Raw genomic sequence first — 18,173 nt, 5'->3', positions numbered from 1 at the left:
ATGAGCATAAACCAGCTCCATGACCTAGAAAATCCACAACTAGGCTTGTACCTCCAGAAATGCACATGTATGTGCACAAGAAACATGTAAAATATTCATAATAGTATTATTCATAATGGTCCCAAACCAAAAATCATTAAAATAACCACCAAAATGTAACAAGAATCATGACATATCTATATAATGGAATATCATACTGCAATAAAAAAGAATAAGCTGCTACTACTAGCAACATCTGGATGGCTCTCATTGATGTTTTGTTGAGGTGGGAAAAAAGCTATCAGGCATCAAAGAGTATATACTGTATGGTTCCAGTAATTTTTTTAAAAAAGGCAAACCAATCAGTGGTGATAGAAGTCAGAATAGTCAGTACCTTTGTTGGGCTAGGTGTAGTGGTAGCTAAAAGGGGGCACGATATGGTAACACAGATGTGTTAACTTCGTAAACATCCATCAAGTTATTCACTTAATATTTATAAACTTTACTGCAGGTTATATTTCAATTTTTTAAAGTTGCTGGGTGCAGTAGCTCATGCCTGTAATCCCAGCACTTTTGAGAGGCAGAGGCGGGAGGATGGCTTGAGCCCAGGAGTTCGAGACTGGCCTGGGCAACACAGTGAGACCTTGTCTCTACTTACTTGTTTACTAAATAAATAAATAAATAAGCTGGGCATGGTGGTGCACACCTGTAGTCTCAGCTACTTGGAAGGCTGAGGTGGGAGGATCACTTGACCCTGGGAGGTCAAGCCTGCAGTGAGCCATGATCACGTCACTGTACTCCAGCCTGGGTGAAAGAGTGAGACTCTCTCTCAAAAAAAAACTTTACCAAAAATATCTTAACATCCAAAATGCTTTCCAATCTGACAGTTATCTTTTGTCGATAAGTTTTAATCATTAAATTAGGTGCCTAAATACATTCTGAAAGTTTAGAAAAGAAAACCAAGTAAGATGTCTTCTATCACGGCTATTGTTCTTAGTCTGCCTTTAACAATTCTCCCACCCCAATTCTTCTAACAAGGCATCTCATCCACTGACCATAGGTAGTAAACAGTGGTAACAGAGTTTGGTCCAGGGACATCACAAAGTGTCTAGCACATAGCCAGGCACATTGTAGGGCACTCAATAAATAGCTGTTGAATAAATAACTGCATAGAGAGCCACAGAAACAGAAGGAAGCAGGTGAAGGTCAGAACTCTATTAAGTCCGTCTACTGCCCACTAGAATGTAAGTCACCAAGGGCCCAGACCTTATCTATTTTGGTCACTGATACATCTCCGTTAGTATATTCTGAAGTCAGGGACCTATTAAAATGTTTATCTACTTTACAAAAGTACCAAACTCCTCTTTAAAATCTGGTATGATATATTTAATAAAGTCTTTTAAAATGCTTTTCATGTTTGATCATTGTTTTGTTTTTTACTCTACTCAAGAAGAGAACTATGAGTTATTAAATGGGAAGGTTTTGAATTTGTAGGTACAGCATCTTCAGCTGTCCAACACTCTCACCCTGCTAATGACCCAAATTCCCCTCTGATGCCGGCCACTGACAGTTGCTATATTTGCTCCCATTCTAGTTTCCTTGAAACTTCTTGCTTATGTTTTCATATAAATATATTTTCTTTTTCTCTTTTTTTACTTTTTTAAGATGAAGTCTTGCTCTGTCGCCCAGGCTGGAGTGCAGTGATACGATCTCAGCTCACTGCAACCTCTACCTCGTGGGTTCAAGTGATCCTCCTGCCTCAGCCACCCAAGTAGCTGGGATTACAGGCGCATGATATCATGTCCAGCTAATTTTTGCATTTTCAGTAGACACGGGGTTTCAACATGTTGGTCAGGCTGGTCTCGAACTCCTGACCTCAGGTGATCTGCCCGCCTAGGCCTCCCAAAGTGCTGGGATTACAGGCATGAACCACCACACCTGGCCCTGTTCTTGATCTTAATGATCAATCTCTCATCAGTATAAAGTAAGGTGGACTTACTGCTGATTGCTGTGGTTCTTCTGGAGCTTACACTTACATCCCTATCTGTAGCGCCCTGTTAAACTGGTGTTTTCAGCAACACAGCTCACTGCTGACCAGTACTCAAATGGAAGTCGTCCCCATAAGAACTGCAGGTTGTCAAAATCCTTCATGTTATGCAACAGGACACTCTTGGTGTGCTATAACTTACTTGGAGTATAACTTTAATTTTAAAAACTGAAAATGTGAATTACTGGTCAACTTACATTTTTATGTCAAAATACATCTGACAACAATGTTCTGTGATAATGATTTTCTACCATAATACTACGGTTTGAAATGCTATAAATATTACACGAGCACATGCAAACATAAAATTAATTTGTTAGTATCTACAGAACTGGAAAGGTCAGATCATTCAACATTGAGCCATTAGTACATAAGTAATTAAAACCAAAATATCTGCCACTATGGTCTGGTGATAAAATATAAAAATAAATCTATTAAACAAAAACAGCTAAATGAAGTTTAAGAAGCATGAAAATTATGATGAGTTTCAAGCACTAACTGCGAGGACATTTATCAAACTCCAAATGTTAGGTGACAATTTAGCAAATGGGGATGGCACTGTAAGCAAGCAGCATGAATGAACACATAGTTTAAGGTTTTAGGTGACATTCGGCTTTTACTACAAAAGGGAAGGATTCCCCCCATTACAGAGGCATTGATACGCTGCCCTCTGTACCTGGCACATCCTGGGGGAGCTCAGATGCCACCTTCTTCTCTGCCATGTTGCTGCTATCGGGGGTTTCTGAGAGACACCCCACAGGGCTCCTCCCTTCAGAGGGACTAGTCTCTTCTGAAGTTGCATTTGTTGTGTTGTCGCCAAGATTTGCTGACACAGAGTTACCTTTATCCCCAACTTCTGTTGGCTCTACAGCAAAATGCACAACAAAACTTCAAAGATATTCTTTAAAATTGCTTCAGGGCAAATGGCCACATTCAGTCAACTACTAAATAATCACAAAAAACCTGCTTCCATTGAACGGCCATTTTAAAGCAAGTAGATTCTCGGATATTGCTGCAATAGGTAATTCAGAGAGTATTTAAGAATATTTAATAATATATTAAGAATGCTTAAGTAATTAATATAAAAATGAACATTTTATCACATACAAAAGTGTATACTCTGGTATAATATTAAAGAATAGTTCTTTTTCATAGGGAAATGGCAACTTAATGGGAAGTATAAATAGAGACATGAATATAACATTATAGCAAATTCACTAATACATAAAACTCATTACAATTGTTACACACGTTATAAGAGGGGACGGTATCCTGATCTCTTTAGAAATATTAAATTAGGTAGCTGCTTGCAATATTTCACTTTCATTTTGCAAGTAAAACTGGAGATTTCATAAATAACACTAATGAAATATTTCTTTTTAATCAAGTAATTTTTTTACCCTCAGATTTTCCTTGCTCAGGGTCATCATCTGGTGTTTTGTCGTCACTGTCTTTTTCAAGGGACTGGTCTTCAAATTCTTCTCTGTTTTTCTCAGCATCTTTAGAGTCATTCTCAGTCTCATTCTTGTCTTTTTCTGTTTCTTCTGGGCTTTTAACATTATCAATGTCTCCCTTTTTGGCTCTTATGGATTCCAAAATTTCTTCTATAATGTGTAAAACAAACAAAAAAATTATTCCTATATATAACCAAATAGAACAGTACCACAAATGTCACTTACGAGTTTCAATACAAGCTATTAAAGAGGAAAAATTAAGTATTTTTAAAGCATTAGACCTATGAAATAAAAATCAAGATTACAAACAAAATTGTGTTTACAGAATTCAATCAATTTGGTGTACCTTCACCTCTAGATAATACATGCTAATTATGGGCTCTACTTTTTAAAAAAAGTAAAATGAGCCTATCTTTTTAAAATATAGCCTTGATATAGATATCTGTCACGGATATCTGTGACAGATGACAAAAACTGCAAGCTGACATAGACCCACAGTCTGGGCAGCACACTGCAGTGATCAAAACCTAGAAACCCAAAACCCACTGCAAATCTGACTTGGATTAGCTGTGTGACTCTGGGCAAGCTACCTAACCTCTCCAGGCCATCATTTCCTCAACTGTAAAAAGAGAAAACAGAGGCCCTTTTGGAAACAACTTTCTTTCTGAAGTCCCTTAATTGTTCTGAAAGTCACTAAGTCTCTTAGTACACCTACCCTCTTTCAACTTAGACAGAGTGATACTATGGCATGTTATAGACCACGGGATACAGAAGGACCACAGTGTACAGAACACACGGTATATCAGTACGCACTCATGGATATTAATTATATTCTTTGGGTTATCATGCAATACTATCACTTTTAATTTTGTTGCACAAATTGTTTCAGCTTTGGCCACTGGGGACTTTTTCCGAGTCCAGTGTCCTTTTGACACATATCCATCCATCCATCCATCCATCCATCCATCCATCCAGCATTTTCTTACTTTCCACTATTACAAGATGCTCCGGGCTCACCTTGTATTTTCCCTGCCCCAGCCCTACAATCCACCATCTCTCCAAGGAGCCTTTGTTCTTTTTTGAAGAACAAATTGGAGAATGATGTTAGAAGTCACAATCTAAGTGGTTGGTGTGTTTGTTACTATTGGGGTGTTACTATTCTAGAGTCTCTCAGCCAACAGAGCTAAAAAATGTAGTCATAAATATATACATCTATATTATTTCTGTATTTATTTGTGTGGGCACATATGTATATGAGTGAATGCCTATGTGTCTGTATAGGGTTCATTTACCATTGCCCACTTGCTTATCTGTAACTTCTCTGACAGTGAGAAATCTGGCTCACATTATCTATAACATATCTAGTTATTTGTTCATTCCTAGTACACACAGTAAAATAGTTTCGGAATTGCTAAACTGTTTCCTCATAAAAATAAATTTATCAACTAGAGTACGCTATTTGTGAATAAGAAGAAACACGGTTTTTCTTTTTCTTTTTTTTTTTTTTTGAGATGGAGTTTTGCTCTTGTCACCCAGGCAGGAGTGTAATGGCGCACTCCTGGCTCACTGCAACCTCTGCCTCCCAGGTTCAAGCAATTCTCCTGCCCCAGCCTCCCAAGTAGCTGGGATTACAGGCGCCTGCCACCACACCCGGCTAATTTTTGTATTTTTAGTAGAGACGGGGTTTCACCACGTTGGCCCGGCTGGTCTTGAACTCCTGACCTCAGGTGATCCGCCCACCTCAGCCTCACAAAGTGTTGGGATTACAGGCGTGAGCCACTGCACCGGGCCATAAGAAACACTTAATACCATGTATATCCACAGTACTCCTCTTGGATTTTTGGGTTTGTGTTTCCTTTTTTATAAATTTATTTTTTACTTTTTTAGAGACAGAGTCTCACTCTTGCTCAGGAGTACACTGGTGTGATCACAGCTCACTGTAACCTTGAACTCCTAGACTCAAGTGATCCTCCCACCTCAGCCTCCCGAGTAGATGGAACTATAGGTATGTGTCACCACGCCTGGCTAATTTTTTAATCCTTTTTAAAATAGAGATGGAGTCTCACTATGTTGCCCAGACTGGTCTTGAACTCCCCCGTGCCTTGGCCTACCAAAGCACTGGGGTTACAGGCGTTAGCAGTGCCCAGCCCTTAATTCCTATATTTTAAAGAACACTTTATTTGGAAAAAGAAAATGTAGTTACCGATTATCTGTTTTTCTTAGAGGCACAGATTTCCTTTTTTCTTTCTTTCTTTTTTTTTGAGACAGAATCTCACTCTGTTGCCCAGGCTGGAGTGCAGTGGCGTGATCTCGACTCACTGCAACCTCTGCCTCCTGGGTTCAAGCGATTCTCACACCTCAGCCTCCCAAGTAGCTGAGACTATAGGCGCATACCACCACACCTGGCTAATTTTTATGTTTTTAGTAAAGATGGGGTTTCACTATGTTGGCCATGCTGGTCTCAAACTCCTGACCTCAGGTGATCCACCTGTCTCAAAGTGCTAGGATTACAGGTGTGAGCCACCACGCCCGGCCATTTTCAAACACAACTACATCCTATAGCTTTTCTTAACCAAATCATTGTACATCCTCCCTACTTTCCCAGTGCCATTTAATGAAAATAAAACCAAAAAAATTGTTTTAGTTGCCTACTAAGTTTAGACCATTTAAATTGGTTGAAAAGCACAGGTTGCATGACCATAGTTCTCTGACTTTCTATAAAGATTCTAATTTCAAATAGTCTATATTGTTAAATACACATATACATATATACATTCATACAAGTTTTAGGTTCAAAAAACTATGGCAATCATAGCCATAAGAAAAACAGACCAAAAACAGGGCTGGGCGCAGTGGCTCACGCCTGTAATCCCAGCACTTCAGGAGGCCGAGGCAGGTGAATCCCTTGAGGCTAGAAGTTTGAGACCAGTCTGACCAACATGGTGAAACCCCGTCTCTACCTAAAATACAAAAATTAGCCAGGTGTGGTGGCACACGCCTGTAATCCCAGCTACCTGGGAGGCTGAGACATGATAATTGCTTGAACCTAGGAGACAGAGGTTGCAGTGAGCCGAGATCATGCCACTGCACTCCAGCCTGGGTGACAGAGCGAGACTCTGTCTCAAAAAAACAAAAACAAAACAAACAACAACAACAAAAAGAAAAAGAGACCCAAAATGTTCAGCAGAGAGAAAAACATTAAAGGATGAAAGAAAATTACATTGTATCTGATCTATACTAAATATGCATATTCTATCAACAAGTATATTCTATACTTTGCATGAACATTTCAAAACTAAACAAAGAATTAACCTACCAGGTTTTAGAAGCCATCTCTACTCAGAAAAAATTCTTCTAAAAATAAACTTCCCTCAAATAAGCAAAATAAAGCATTTCATAATTACCATACAGGCATAGGATAAAGCAAATATAGTAAGCTGTATATTTAGTTACAAATATAAAGTACAGATCTATACGATGAATATATGAGTATTTACTGTATAATTTTTTTTTTTTTTTTTTTTTGGAGACAAAGTCTCACTCTGTTGCCCAGGCTGGAGGGCAGTGGCACGATCTCGGCTCACTGCAACCTCTGCCTCTGGGTTCAAGCAATTCTCCTGCCTCAGCTTCCCGAGTAGCTAGGATTGCAGGCGTGCACCACCAAGCCCAGCTAATTTTTGTATTTTTAGTAAAGACGAGGTTTTGCCATGTTGATCAGGCTGGTAACTGTATAATTCTTTCAACTTTTGTGTACATTTGAAATTTTTAATAAAATATTGAGGAAAAATGGAGAAGAAAAATTTAACTATCAAAAATAGAATTAAACTCTCCTAAAGTAGACACGTGTGTGTGTAGATAAAAACCAGAGAGTTATACATTAGAAATGAAGCATTTTCGGCCGGGCGCGGTGGCTCACGCCTGTAATCCCAGCACTTTGGGAGGCCGAGGCGGGCGGATCACGAGGTCAGGAGATCGAGACCATCCTGGCTAAAAAACGGTGAAACCCCGTCTCTACTAAAAATACAAAAAATTAGCCGGGCGTAGTGGCGGGCGCCTGTAGTCCCAGCTACTTGGGAGGCTGAGGCAGGAGAATGGCGTGAACCCGGGAGGCGGAGCTTGCAGTGAGCCGAGATCCCGCCACTGCACTCCAGCCTGGGCGACAGAGCGAGACTCCGTCTCAAAAAAAAAAAAAAAAAAAAAGAAATGAAGCATTTTCTTTGAGAGGTTAACATCAAGTCAAAGTCATCAGACAGGCTACAATTCTGAAATTCCTGTTATGCTGTAAATTATTCTTGGCTATTATCAGAACCCCAGTAGTTTCCATTGTTTTCATCTCATAAAACCCCAAGTTAAAGAACATGATTAGATATTATTTTGGGTATTTACCTGGACTGGGTGGTCCTAAACTGACTATCACAGCCAAGATTTTAGTTACCAGAGAGAACAAATAAAGGTAACAGTGGTGAACTGGTGTTTTAATCGGGAATTCTTCTATTTGAATGCTCAATTCATTACCAATACACTCCTTAAAAAGTTGCTGAGAGGATTAAAGAATTGTAAAACACCTAGTTGAGCACCTGGCCCACAGGAGGCACCCAAAAATGTCCGTGTCCCCTTCTCTTCCCCAACAATTTTCAATTCTTGTGAATCCCTCCTCCTACAGTACCAGGTTGATGTTGTACCTTAGCCGAAAAAAAAAAAAAAAGGAAAGAAAGAAAAAAATATTTATGTCATTTTTGGGGTCCAGATCTCACCATTAAATCCAAGGTACAACTCACCTTATTTCCATGTACTCCATGTAGTACTAAGAGGATAACTGCAGGTTGCAAGGCAATCTCACAGCACACAAATTTTAGTCATCTAACTTTCTAAGAACATATTGTGGCCTAAAGCTCAATGTTCTCTTTGTTGTTCCCCATTACTACAAAAGGTTTTGCTAATTTTTTTTTTTTTTTTTTTTTTTTTGAGACGGAGTCTCGCTCTGTGTCGCCCAGGCTGGAGTGCAGTGGCTCACTCGGCTCACTGCAAGCTCTGCCTCCCGGGTTCACGCCATTCTCTTGCCTCAGGCTGCCGAGTAGCTGGGACTACAGGTGCCTGCCACCACGCCTGGCTAATTTTTTTTTTTTTTTTTTTTTTTTTGTATTTTTAGTAGAGACGGGGTTTCACCATGTTAGCCAGGATGGTCTCGATCTCCTGACCTCGTGATCCGCCCGCCTCAGCCTCCCAAAATGCTGGGATTACAGGCGTGAGCCACTGTGCCCTGCCGGTTTAACTAATTTTTAAAAGTACATTACATGCTGAATCATACTGAACTATATAACATGCTCATTGTAGGAAATGCAAAAAATATGAGAAGGAAACCAACTACAATTCTACTATGCTAATTGGTTATTTTTTAATGATAAAACCTGATCCAGTTGGTTATTTAGAGGAAGAAGAATTTAAGTATCTCACACAGTTTTTGCAAGGTACTTTACTTAATTCTCCAATACGCAGTGTTCTATCACATGATAATTCATAATGAAATTTATCAATTCCCCTATATTAACATTTTTAGGTTTTTACATTCCCCCAAATCACAACACTTAACACTTGATTACCCATTCCTGTTTTGACTTTGTTCTTTAATTATGATTATACTGTATACATAATCTAACACACAGAAAATATTTTTTTGTTTTTTCTATTTTTTATTCTGAAAAATATTTTAATTCAATGTACTTTATAAAATCCTATCTCACATTGCCTTTTAGAGGACTAAAGATGGTTCTCTGTTGTTGTACTAAAACACAGGAGAGCAAAAAGGGATTTGTCTATTTTAATGCCATGATTCATAAAAGGAAATTAAGGGGGGAAGTAAGCTGGCTGAAATTAATAAAATTTCCTATGATTTGATCTATATGGGGGGAGAGTAAGACGGAGATTGTGTTACTGCAATTACTTATCCCCCAAAGACTTCTGAACACTAAAACTTTTCTAATAAAAAAATTACACATTTTTCTAAACAGATCTAATAGAGAAATACTTCCAACTACCAGATATGAATAAATATAATTCATGGTAACTAAGAATGCTTTTTTCTGAAGACAAAGTATATTTGTGCCCAACAGTATTTATATGTGAGAGCCTATCATTCTCCAAAAATACGCATGAATTCACAGGAATATTGATGTAGAATATGTGAGAACAAGGTTGGATACAGCTATCCGGGTATCTTTATTAAATATAAACATTCTATTTTTAAGCAAATGGAGAATGGGGAAAATTAATAGGATTATATGTATAGCAGATAATGTATGCAGAAGAGCAGAACTCAGAACCAGGCACTTAAAAGTGTACTTTCAGAATCTTACCTAATAATTTTATCTAAGCTAAAACTTAAAAGGCACTATAGTCAGCCCTCTGTGGCCAAAGGTTCTGCATCCTTGGATTCAACCACCCTCAAATTGAAAATACAGTATTCTCAGGATGCAGAACCCTTGAATATGGAATGCCAACTTTTCATATCAGCAGGTTCCACAGGGCTGACTGCAGGACTTGGGCATCCATGGATTTTGCTATCTGCAGAGGGCTCTGGAAGCAATCCCTGAGAATACTGAGGGATGGCTACATTAGAAAACACAGGTGGTATTTATTAAACATGCACAGAATACATCTGGCAGGACAAAAAAACATACAGCAATAATGATTGCCTCTGGAGAAAGGAAGGTCAGATTGGAGATTTTGAAGGAGAGAGATTCATTTTTCACAGCATACCCTTTATACTATTTAAACTTTTGAGATATATATGTATTTATAACTTAAAAAAATAAAGAGTTGAGTAACAAAATAAATAAGGTGACATTGAATTATAACCTAATAAATATCCAATTATATTATAACCCAGTAAGTATAAAATATCCATGAATGTATACTCATAGAAATAAATGCCTGAAAAAATAAACACATCTCCTGTGCAGAAAAATTCCAAATAATTTATGTAGATATTGCCCCTTCAAGAAGGTAGAACATAACTCCTCACCCGCTAAGTGTGGCTGTTTATAGTGACTTGCTTCCAGAAAGTACAGTATTGGGGGTTTGAGGGGTTGGGGGAGGATGTGGAGAAACCTGACGAACACTGCCTCACCCAGGGACCAAGGTTAACATCATCAGTGGTAAGTCACGAGGACACCATGCACTCTTGATAAGAAGATGAGAATTGCACTTCACTTCTGTGGTCTTCCTCCCCAAAATGCATAAACCTAGGCTAACCATGAGAAAAACCCATAATGAGGGCTTTCTACAAAATACCTAACCACTACTCCTCCCAACTGTCAAGGCCATCAAAAACAAGGAAAGTCTGAGAAACCGACAACCCAGAGGAAAACATGATGACTAAATATCAAGTGGTACAGGATCATGAGGCAGAAAAAGGACATCAGGTAAAAACTAAGGAAATTGGAATGAAGTATGGACTTGAGTTAGTAACAGTGTATCAATACTGGTCCATTAGTTGTAACAAATATTTCACACTAATCTAAGACTTTAATAACAGGGGCAACCAAGTGCAGGATATATGGAAACCCTCTACTATCTTTGCAACTTTTGTATAAATCTAAAAATACTCTAAAATTTAAAGTTTTATTTTTTTAAAAAGGCAAAAAGTTCAAAAAGAATATTATTTCTTAAAATTAAAAACTGGAATGCCAAAAAAGTTTAATAAGATACTTGAATTAAAGAAACAAACTAACATGTTGGGGAATATCAGTAATGACCCAAGGCAGAAATAAAACACTAAAATGTATAGCATCCCTAATTTACAGTGGAATGAACAAGGTTCTCTTGGGAAAATGAAATATGGAGAACTAAAGTAAAATATACACACAGTCATGCACTGCACAATGTTTCGGTCCACCAGGAACCACATACGTGATGGTGATCACATAAGATTATACGTATTACCTTTTTAAATGTTTAGATATAGTTAGATACACAAATACCTGCCATTGTGCTACAACTGCTTATGGGATTCAGTACAGTCACATGACGTACAGGTTTGCAGCCTAGCAGCAACAGGCTATGCCGTATAACCTAGGTGTATGGTTTGTGTAAGTGTACTCTATGATGTTCATACAATGATGACATTGTCAAATGACACATTTTTCAGAATGTATCCCCATCATTAAGCAATGCACGACTGTACTTGAAAATTTTAATCTATTTTCAAATTTTGCAGTGATTTCATACCAACGGTTTAGCTCAGACTTAACAAAAATAAAATGAGAAAATGCCCCTCTCACCATTAGCTGCCGCCAGAAAGGATTTGTTACTGCCCCGAGCCTTATTGGTCAGGTCTTCAGTTATGTCCATGTGTCGGTGGATTTCTTCACGCATTTCTTCTAGAATTTTGCAGAGTTCTGCTTCCCAATAATCTTTGTCTAGACAGTCAATTAATTCTGCAAGTTGGACCTTTGTGCTGTAATACCAAATTTTCTTTTCATTTTCATTTTCTGTATCTTCTTCTCTGTTTAAAAATGGGGGGAAATACTTTATATGTTAGACATAATGCCACTTATCTGACAGTTCATCTACCCAGTGAAAACTTAAAACAAAGCTTATGCACTAAAACTCAATATAGGCGCTCACAAGAAAACCCTGCAGGTCTCACTCAAACTTGATTTACTCTGAGAAATGATATCTAAAAAACATGACACAAAGAAAAATAACCTCAAAATTCAGAACCACGTGAGAGTACTTTGTGGAAGCCAGTTTCAGCTACATCTCAACCAACTTTAAGATCATCAATGTAACAATATGATGAGAAGAATGTATTTAGAATTATTTTAGAATAAAATAAATTTATTTTAGAGACAGGGTCTCACTCTGTCGCCCGGGCTAGAGTGCAGTGGCACCATCGTGGTTCACTGCGTACTCAGACTCCTAGGCTCAAGCAATTCTCCTGCCTCAGCCTCCCAAGTAGTTAGGACTTACAGACATGTGCCACGATACCCAGCTAACTTTATAATATAGTTTAGAAATATTTCTAACAAAATGGTGTAAATGCTTTGCTAAGTTCTGGTTTTTGAAGGAGTTATCTCAAATAATATCTCATCCCTCTTCTTTACTTCTGGACAATCGAAGCCCAAACTGGAGAGAAGAGGAGCTTCCTCTCCTGCCTAAAACTCTCCTAAGGTTCCATTCACTTTTAATGGAGTTAAAGACTTCAACAGAGATGGTCACTAACTTAAAACAAACAGGCAAATTAATGTCTAGGACTAGACATAGAGGAACACATATAATGGTATTTCTGTCCCCACTCAAAAGGAATTCAAGAGTATGTGTGAGGCACTCGATGAGAGTGAGCCTGATTTTCCTGTTTACTCAATGGCAAACTGAGGGAACTGAAAGAACTGGGCTTTAGGAGAGATCTGGCTTTAAATACACTCATTTGCTTGTAAGATATGTGGACATGGACAAGACACAGCCTCTCTGAGTCTCTAAGCCATTCTATTTACCTCACTTGTAAAATGAAGATATAATAAAACCTGCCTGCAGGCCACTATAAGACTTAAAGGTATAATGATAAGGCATCTACCACAGTGCCTGGGCACACCAGTGATCAATAAATGTTAAATATTATTACTAAGGTAATAAATGAATAAAAATTTAGCAGCATTCCAGGAATAAGTCATTCAGTAATTCTGAAGAAAGAAGGCCTATATTAAATCACAGATAAATAAAAGGATATGGGTGGAGTTCCCTTAATCCGAAAATCTGAAATCCAAAATGCTCCAAGATCCAAAAGTTTTTGAGTGCCAACATGCCGTTCAAAGGAAATGCTCATTGGAGCGTTTCAGATTTTCAGATTAGGAATGATCAACTGGCTGGGCACAGTGGCTCATACCTGTAATCCCAGCACTTTGGGAGGCTGAGGCGGGCGGATCACAAGGTCAGGAGATCGAGACCATCCCGGTTAACACGGTGAAACCCGGTCTCTACTAAAAATACAAAAAAAATTAGCCGGGCATGGTGGCAGGCGCCTGTCGTCTCAGCTACCCGGGAGCCTGAGGCAGGAGAATGGTGTGAACCCAGGAGGTGGAGCCTAGAGTGAGCCGAGTTCGCGCCAGTTCACTCTAGCCTGGGTGACAGAGCGAGACTCTGTCTCAAAAATAAACAAAAAAATAAATAAATAAGGAATGATCAACTGGTAAGTATAATGCAAATATTCCAAAGCCCATAATACTTCTGATCCACAGCATTTTAGATAAGGGATACTCAACCTATACCGTATTCACTGACCTAACATTTTTCTTCTTGAAGCCACAGAAAGAAAAATTCATTAAAGCATAAAGCAGCAAAACAGTGAATACCTGCTAATCCATTCAAAGAAAAGTTGGGGGTTTTTTTGGTCTGTTTTGTTTTGTTTAACTTTTTTCTTTTCCTTTTTTTTTTTTTTTTTTGTGATGGAGTCTCACTCTGTTGCCCAGGCTGGAGTGCAGTGGCGCAATCTTGGCTCACTGCAACCTCTGCCTCCTGGGTTCAAGCACTTCTCATGCCTCAGCCTCTGAAGAAGCTGGGATTTACAGGCACACACCACCACGCCCAGCTAATTTTTGTATTTTTAGTAGAGACAGGGTTTCGCCATGTTGGCCAGGCTAGTCTTGAACGTCTGGCCTCAAGCAATCCGCCCGCCTCAACCTCCCCAAAGTGCTGGGATTACAGGCACGAGCCACCGCACCGGGCTGAAAAGTTGTTTTTTTATACTTAGTTACTTGGCCTATATACAGTTTATATAATCAAAATTATTTGTCCTCATTGTAAAAGTGACAACAGCTTTCCACATAAATATACATTATGTATGTATATTTGGTTTTGGAGTTATAATGTGGTTCTGTAGAAGCTCTGGTTCTTACAAGGCCTACCATGTTCCTCAGGCTCACCCAAACTGGCCAGGCTTCCCTGAAGTTACCACTGGGCACACATTCTCAAGGACTCATAGGGTGGCAAAGAGAAGACAGACTGGCAAGAAAAGGTTTGCTAAAAATATAATTAAGAGCAAACATACATATTATATGTCTACATTTTAAAGCTTCTTTGACTTTTACCTAGGCTAGCTAAGTAGAAGGTTAATGACTCACAGTAAGTTTCAACTTTCGTTTCTAAACAAACCCATAGAAATGAAGAGTAAAGAACACTAGTGAAATGAGTTGAATAATGTCCCCAAAGTTCATGTCCACCTGCAACCTCAGGATGTGATCTTATTTGGAAATAGGGTCTTTGCAGATGTAAAGTTAAGGATCTTGAGATAAAAATCATCCTGGATTTAGGGTGGCCCCTAAGTCAAATGACTGGTATCCTTAGAAAAGGAGAGGACCCAAGGTGACACATAGAAAAGAAGGTAATGGGCCGGGCGTGGTGGCTCACGCCTGTAATTCTAGAACTTTGAGAGGCCAAGGCGGGCAGATCACAAGGTCAGGAGATGGAGACCATCCTGGCCAACATGGTGAAACCCCATCTCTACTAAAAATACAAAAAATTGGCCAGGAATGGTGGCATGTGCCTGTAGTCCCAGCTACTTGGGAGGCTGAGGCAGGAGAATCACTTGAACCTGGGAGGTGGAGGTTGCAGTGAGCCGAGATCGTGCCACTGCACTCCAGCCTGGGCAACAGAGACTCCGTGTCTCAAAAAAATGAAAAGAAAAAGAAAAGAAGGTAGCATAGAGGCAGCAACTGGAGTGATGTGTCTGTTTGTAAACCAAGAAATGCTAAGGACTGCCAGAAGCTAGGAGACAGGCATGGAACAGATTCTCTTTGAAAGTCTCCAGAAAAACCAACCCTGCTGACCCATGATTTCAGACTTCTGGCCTCCAGGACTGTGAGACAATAAATTCATATTTTTTCAAGCCACCCCATTTGTGGTACTTTGTTATGGTGGCCCTGGAAAACTCCCAACTTTTGGTACGGGAAGTGGGGTGCTGCTGCTAACATACTCAAAAATGTGAAAGTGGTTTTGGAACTGGGTAATGGGAAGAGGCTGAAGAACTGTTAGGTGCTTGATAGAAAAAACCTAAGCTGCCTTGAAAAGATAGTGACAGGGAGATTGGAATTATGCTGCCAGCAAGCCAAGGACACTTGGGGTGCTAGAAGCTAGAAAAGGCCAAAAAAAAAAAAAAAAGCAAGGATTTTTTTCCTAGAGCCTGCAGAGGGAGCATGGCCCTGCTGACACCTTTGAGTTTAGACTTCTATTCTCCAAAACTGTTAAATAATCAATTTCTACTGTTTTAAACTACCCAGTTTTATAGTACTTTTTTTTGGTATAGTACTTTGTTATAGCAGCTGCAGGAAACTGATAAAACTAGCAATTCAGCAATTAAAGACAAAAGCTAGGTCCTAAGCTCTTGGTCAAGCAGCCCAAGTAGTGCTTAGGAGCACACATTCTGGAGCCAGAATGCCTAGGTTCAAATCCCGATCCCACCACTTTGTAGTTGTGTGATCTTGGATAAATTACTTAAAACTCTCTATGCCTCAGTCTCTCCATCTGAAAAATAGGGTGACGGTACATATCCTGGAAGATGCTGTTGTTAGAATTAAATTAATTAAAATATATAAAGTGTTTAGAGTAGTACCAGCACTTCATGGGTATCATATACATAGTTGTCATCATTTTCCTCACCTTATGAAGTGTATAATATTTACCTTAAAACAAGTAACTAGGCCGGGCACGATGGCTCACGCCTGTAATCCCAGCACTTTCGGAGTCCGAGGCAGGTGGATTACCTGAGGTCGGGAGTCCAAAACCAGACTGGCCAACATGGTGAAACCCCATCTCTACTAAAAATACAAAAATTAGCCGGGTGTGGTGGCAGGCACCTGTAATCCCAGCTACTTGGGAGGCTGAGGCAGAAGAATCACTTGAACCTGGGAGGCGGAGGTTGCAGTGAAGCAAGGTTGTGCCACTGCACTCCAGCCTGGGCGACAGAGTGAGACTTGTATCAAAAAACAAAACAAAACAAAAAAACTATTGGTAGGATGGGTGTTTTAAAAAGTAGTATTTCACGATGCAAGAGAAAAAGGGGTTCAGGGAAAGAAAGGGGTGCAGGCAAAGAAATCCCTAGGAAGTAGCATAAATAGGCTGAGACCTCAAGAATGAGCTAGTTAGCCAACAGGTTTTTAGGTGCTTTGGTTTGCTTTTTATTTATGTTGTCTTAAGTGTTAGAAAGCAAGATAATTAAATGTACAAAGTTAGGGATCTGTGCTAAAGAATCTGAAGTTTTGGTTAAGGGCAAATGGAAGTAATTGTAATTAAAAGGTTTTTCAACTTAGGGGAAAAGGAGACTTGATCAAAATTGCTGTTTTAAAAATCATCCAGCTATGGCTGGGCATGGTGGCTCACATCTGTAATCCCAGCACATTTGGAGGCTGAGGTGGGCTGATCACCTGAGGTCAGGAGTTCAATATCAGCCTGGCCAACATGGTGAAACCCTGTCTCTACTAAAAATACAAAATTAGCCAGGTGTGGTGGCGGCCGCCCGTAATCCCACCCACTCGGGAGTCGCTTGAATCCAAGAGGCAGGGGGTTGCAGTGAGCTGAGACTGGGCCACTGCAGTCCAGCCTGAGTGAGACTCCATCTCAAAAAAAAAAAAAAAAGAAAAAATCTTGGAAGGTTGGGGTAGGGGGTTACACTACTTTAGGGGTGACTGACTAGTCTAATGAAGATGACACTGGCTTGTATCACGGAGGGACAGTGGGAATGGAGAGAAACTGATTCAATATTTATTTTAAAGGCATAGCAAACAATAAAGGAAAAAGTTTATTCTCATATTTCTAGCTTGAGCAGCTGGTGGGACAGTAATTCCATTTACTAAGATGAGAACGCTGGATGAAGAGTAGGTAATGGGGGGAAACGATGAGTTTGGTTTTAAACACGTTTGAGGTGCCTGCCTTGCGGACAGGTCCAGGAGTCTGCTGGACATACAGAACTGAACGTGGACAGAAGGAATTCAGGCACGGGAAGTCAGTAAGTTAATATGTGGTTTGTACCTAGAATGGGGAGTAGAAAGCTGTATAGATTTAAAAGCATAGTTTAGTTGATTCGGAAAATGAATACAGATTTTTAAAATGCTGTTTAAAGGCGTGTGGTGGTCCACGCCTGTTGTAATCCTAGCGCTTTGGGAGGCCAAGGCTGGAGGATCACTTGAGCCCAGGAGTTCGAGACCAGCCTGGCAACATAGTGAGACTCTGTCTCTGCAAAAAAATGAAATATAATGCTGTGTTCACGTAATTATATTTAGAATGGAGAGTGACAGAAAAACATGCTAATCTAATCTGGTAATTTCTATTTTAGTAGGTCCTAATTTCAGAGCAAAGGATTGACAGGATAAAAGCAATAGTTAAGAAAGATTGGCCCACTTACATAATGAATGAAAACTGGCCTCTGAGTTATATGCTGAATATGTCTTGGCTTCTCAGATGGACTATAAATTCATGTATAAGAAGCTTTTTTTATTATAAGCTTCACTAATCTATACAAATAACATATTTTTAAGCACTTATTAAATAAAAGCAATAACAGAAAACTTAATTTCTATAAATTGGTAACATTACAATTAAAACCTCTGCATACTATAAACTGCGTGAAAATTCTACATGGCTTTAAAACTATCATGAGGAGTCCACATATAATCTACCACAAAAGTACAGTTAAACTGAAATTA

At 39.3% G+C, this 18,173-nt stretch overlaps 1 protein-coding gene across 47 annotated transcripts in view; it reads right to left on the bottom strand.

Moving 5' to 3' along the window:
* The window catches only part of BPTF (bromodomain PHD finger transcription factor), a 158,876-nt gene that overhangs the window by 105,932 nt on the left and 34,771 nt on the right, over positions 1-18,173 (bottom strand). For 28 of the 47 annotated variants that reach the window (XM_005257150.4, XM_005257154.4, XM_005257159.3 and 25 more), the window contains exons 3-5: positions 11,760-11,983; positions 3,427-3,630; positions 2,703-2,891 (exon numbers count right to left, since the gene is read on the bottom strand). In XM_005257150.4, coding sequence (XP_005257207.1) covers positions 2,703-2,891; positions 3,427-3,630; positions 11,760-11,983 — 617 coding nt within the window. The remainder of the gene's footprint in view (positions 1-2,702; positions 2,892-3,426; positions 3,631-11,759; positions 11,984-18,173) is intronic. The other 19 variants (XM_005257156.4, XM_047435599.1, XM_047435603.1 and 16 more) reach the window with 1 other exon arrangement.

The sequence above is a fragment of the Homo sapiens genome, chromosome 17, assembly GCF_000001405.40.
Source record: "Homo sapiens chromosome 17, GRCh38.p14 Primary Assembly".
Taxonomy (NCBI): domain Eukaryota; kingdom Metazoa; phylum Chordata; class Mammalia; order Primates; family Hominidae; genus Homo; species Homo sapiens.
The sequence above is the reverse complement of the archived record's forward strand: the minus strand, read 5'-3'. Positions and strand labels throughout refer to the sequence as shown.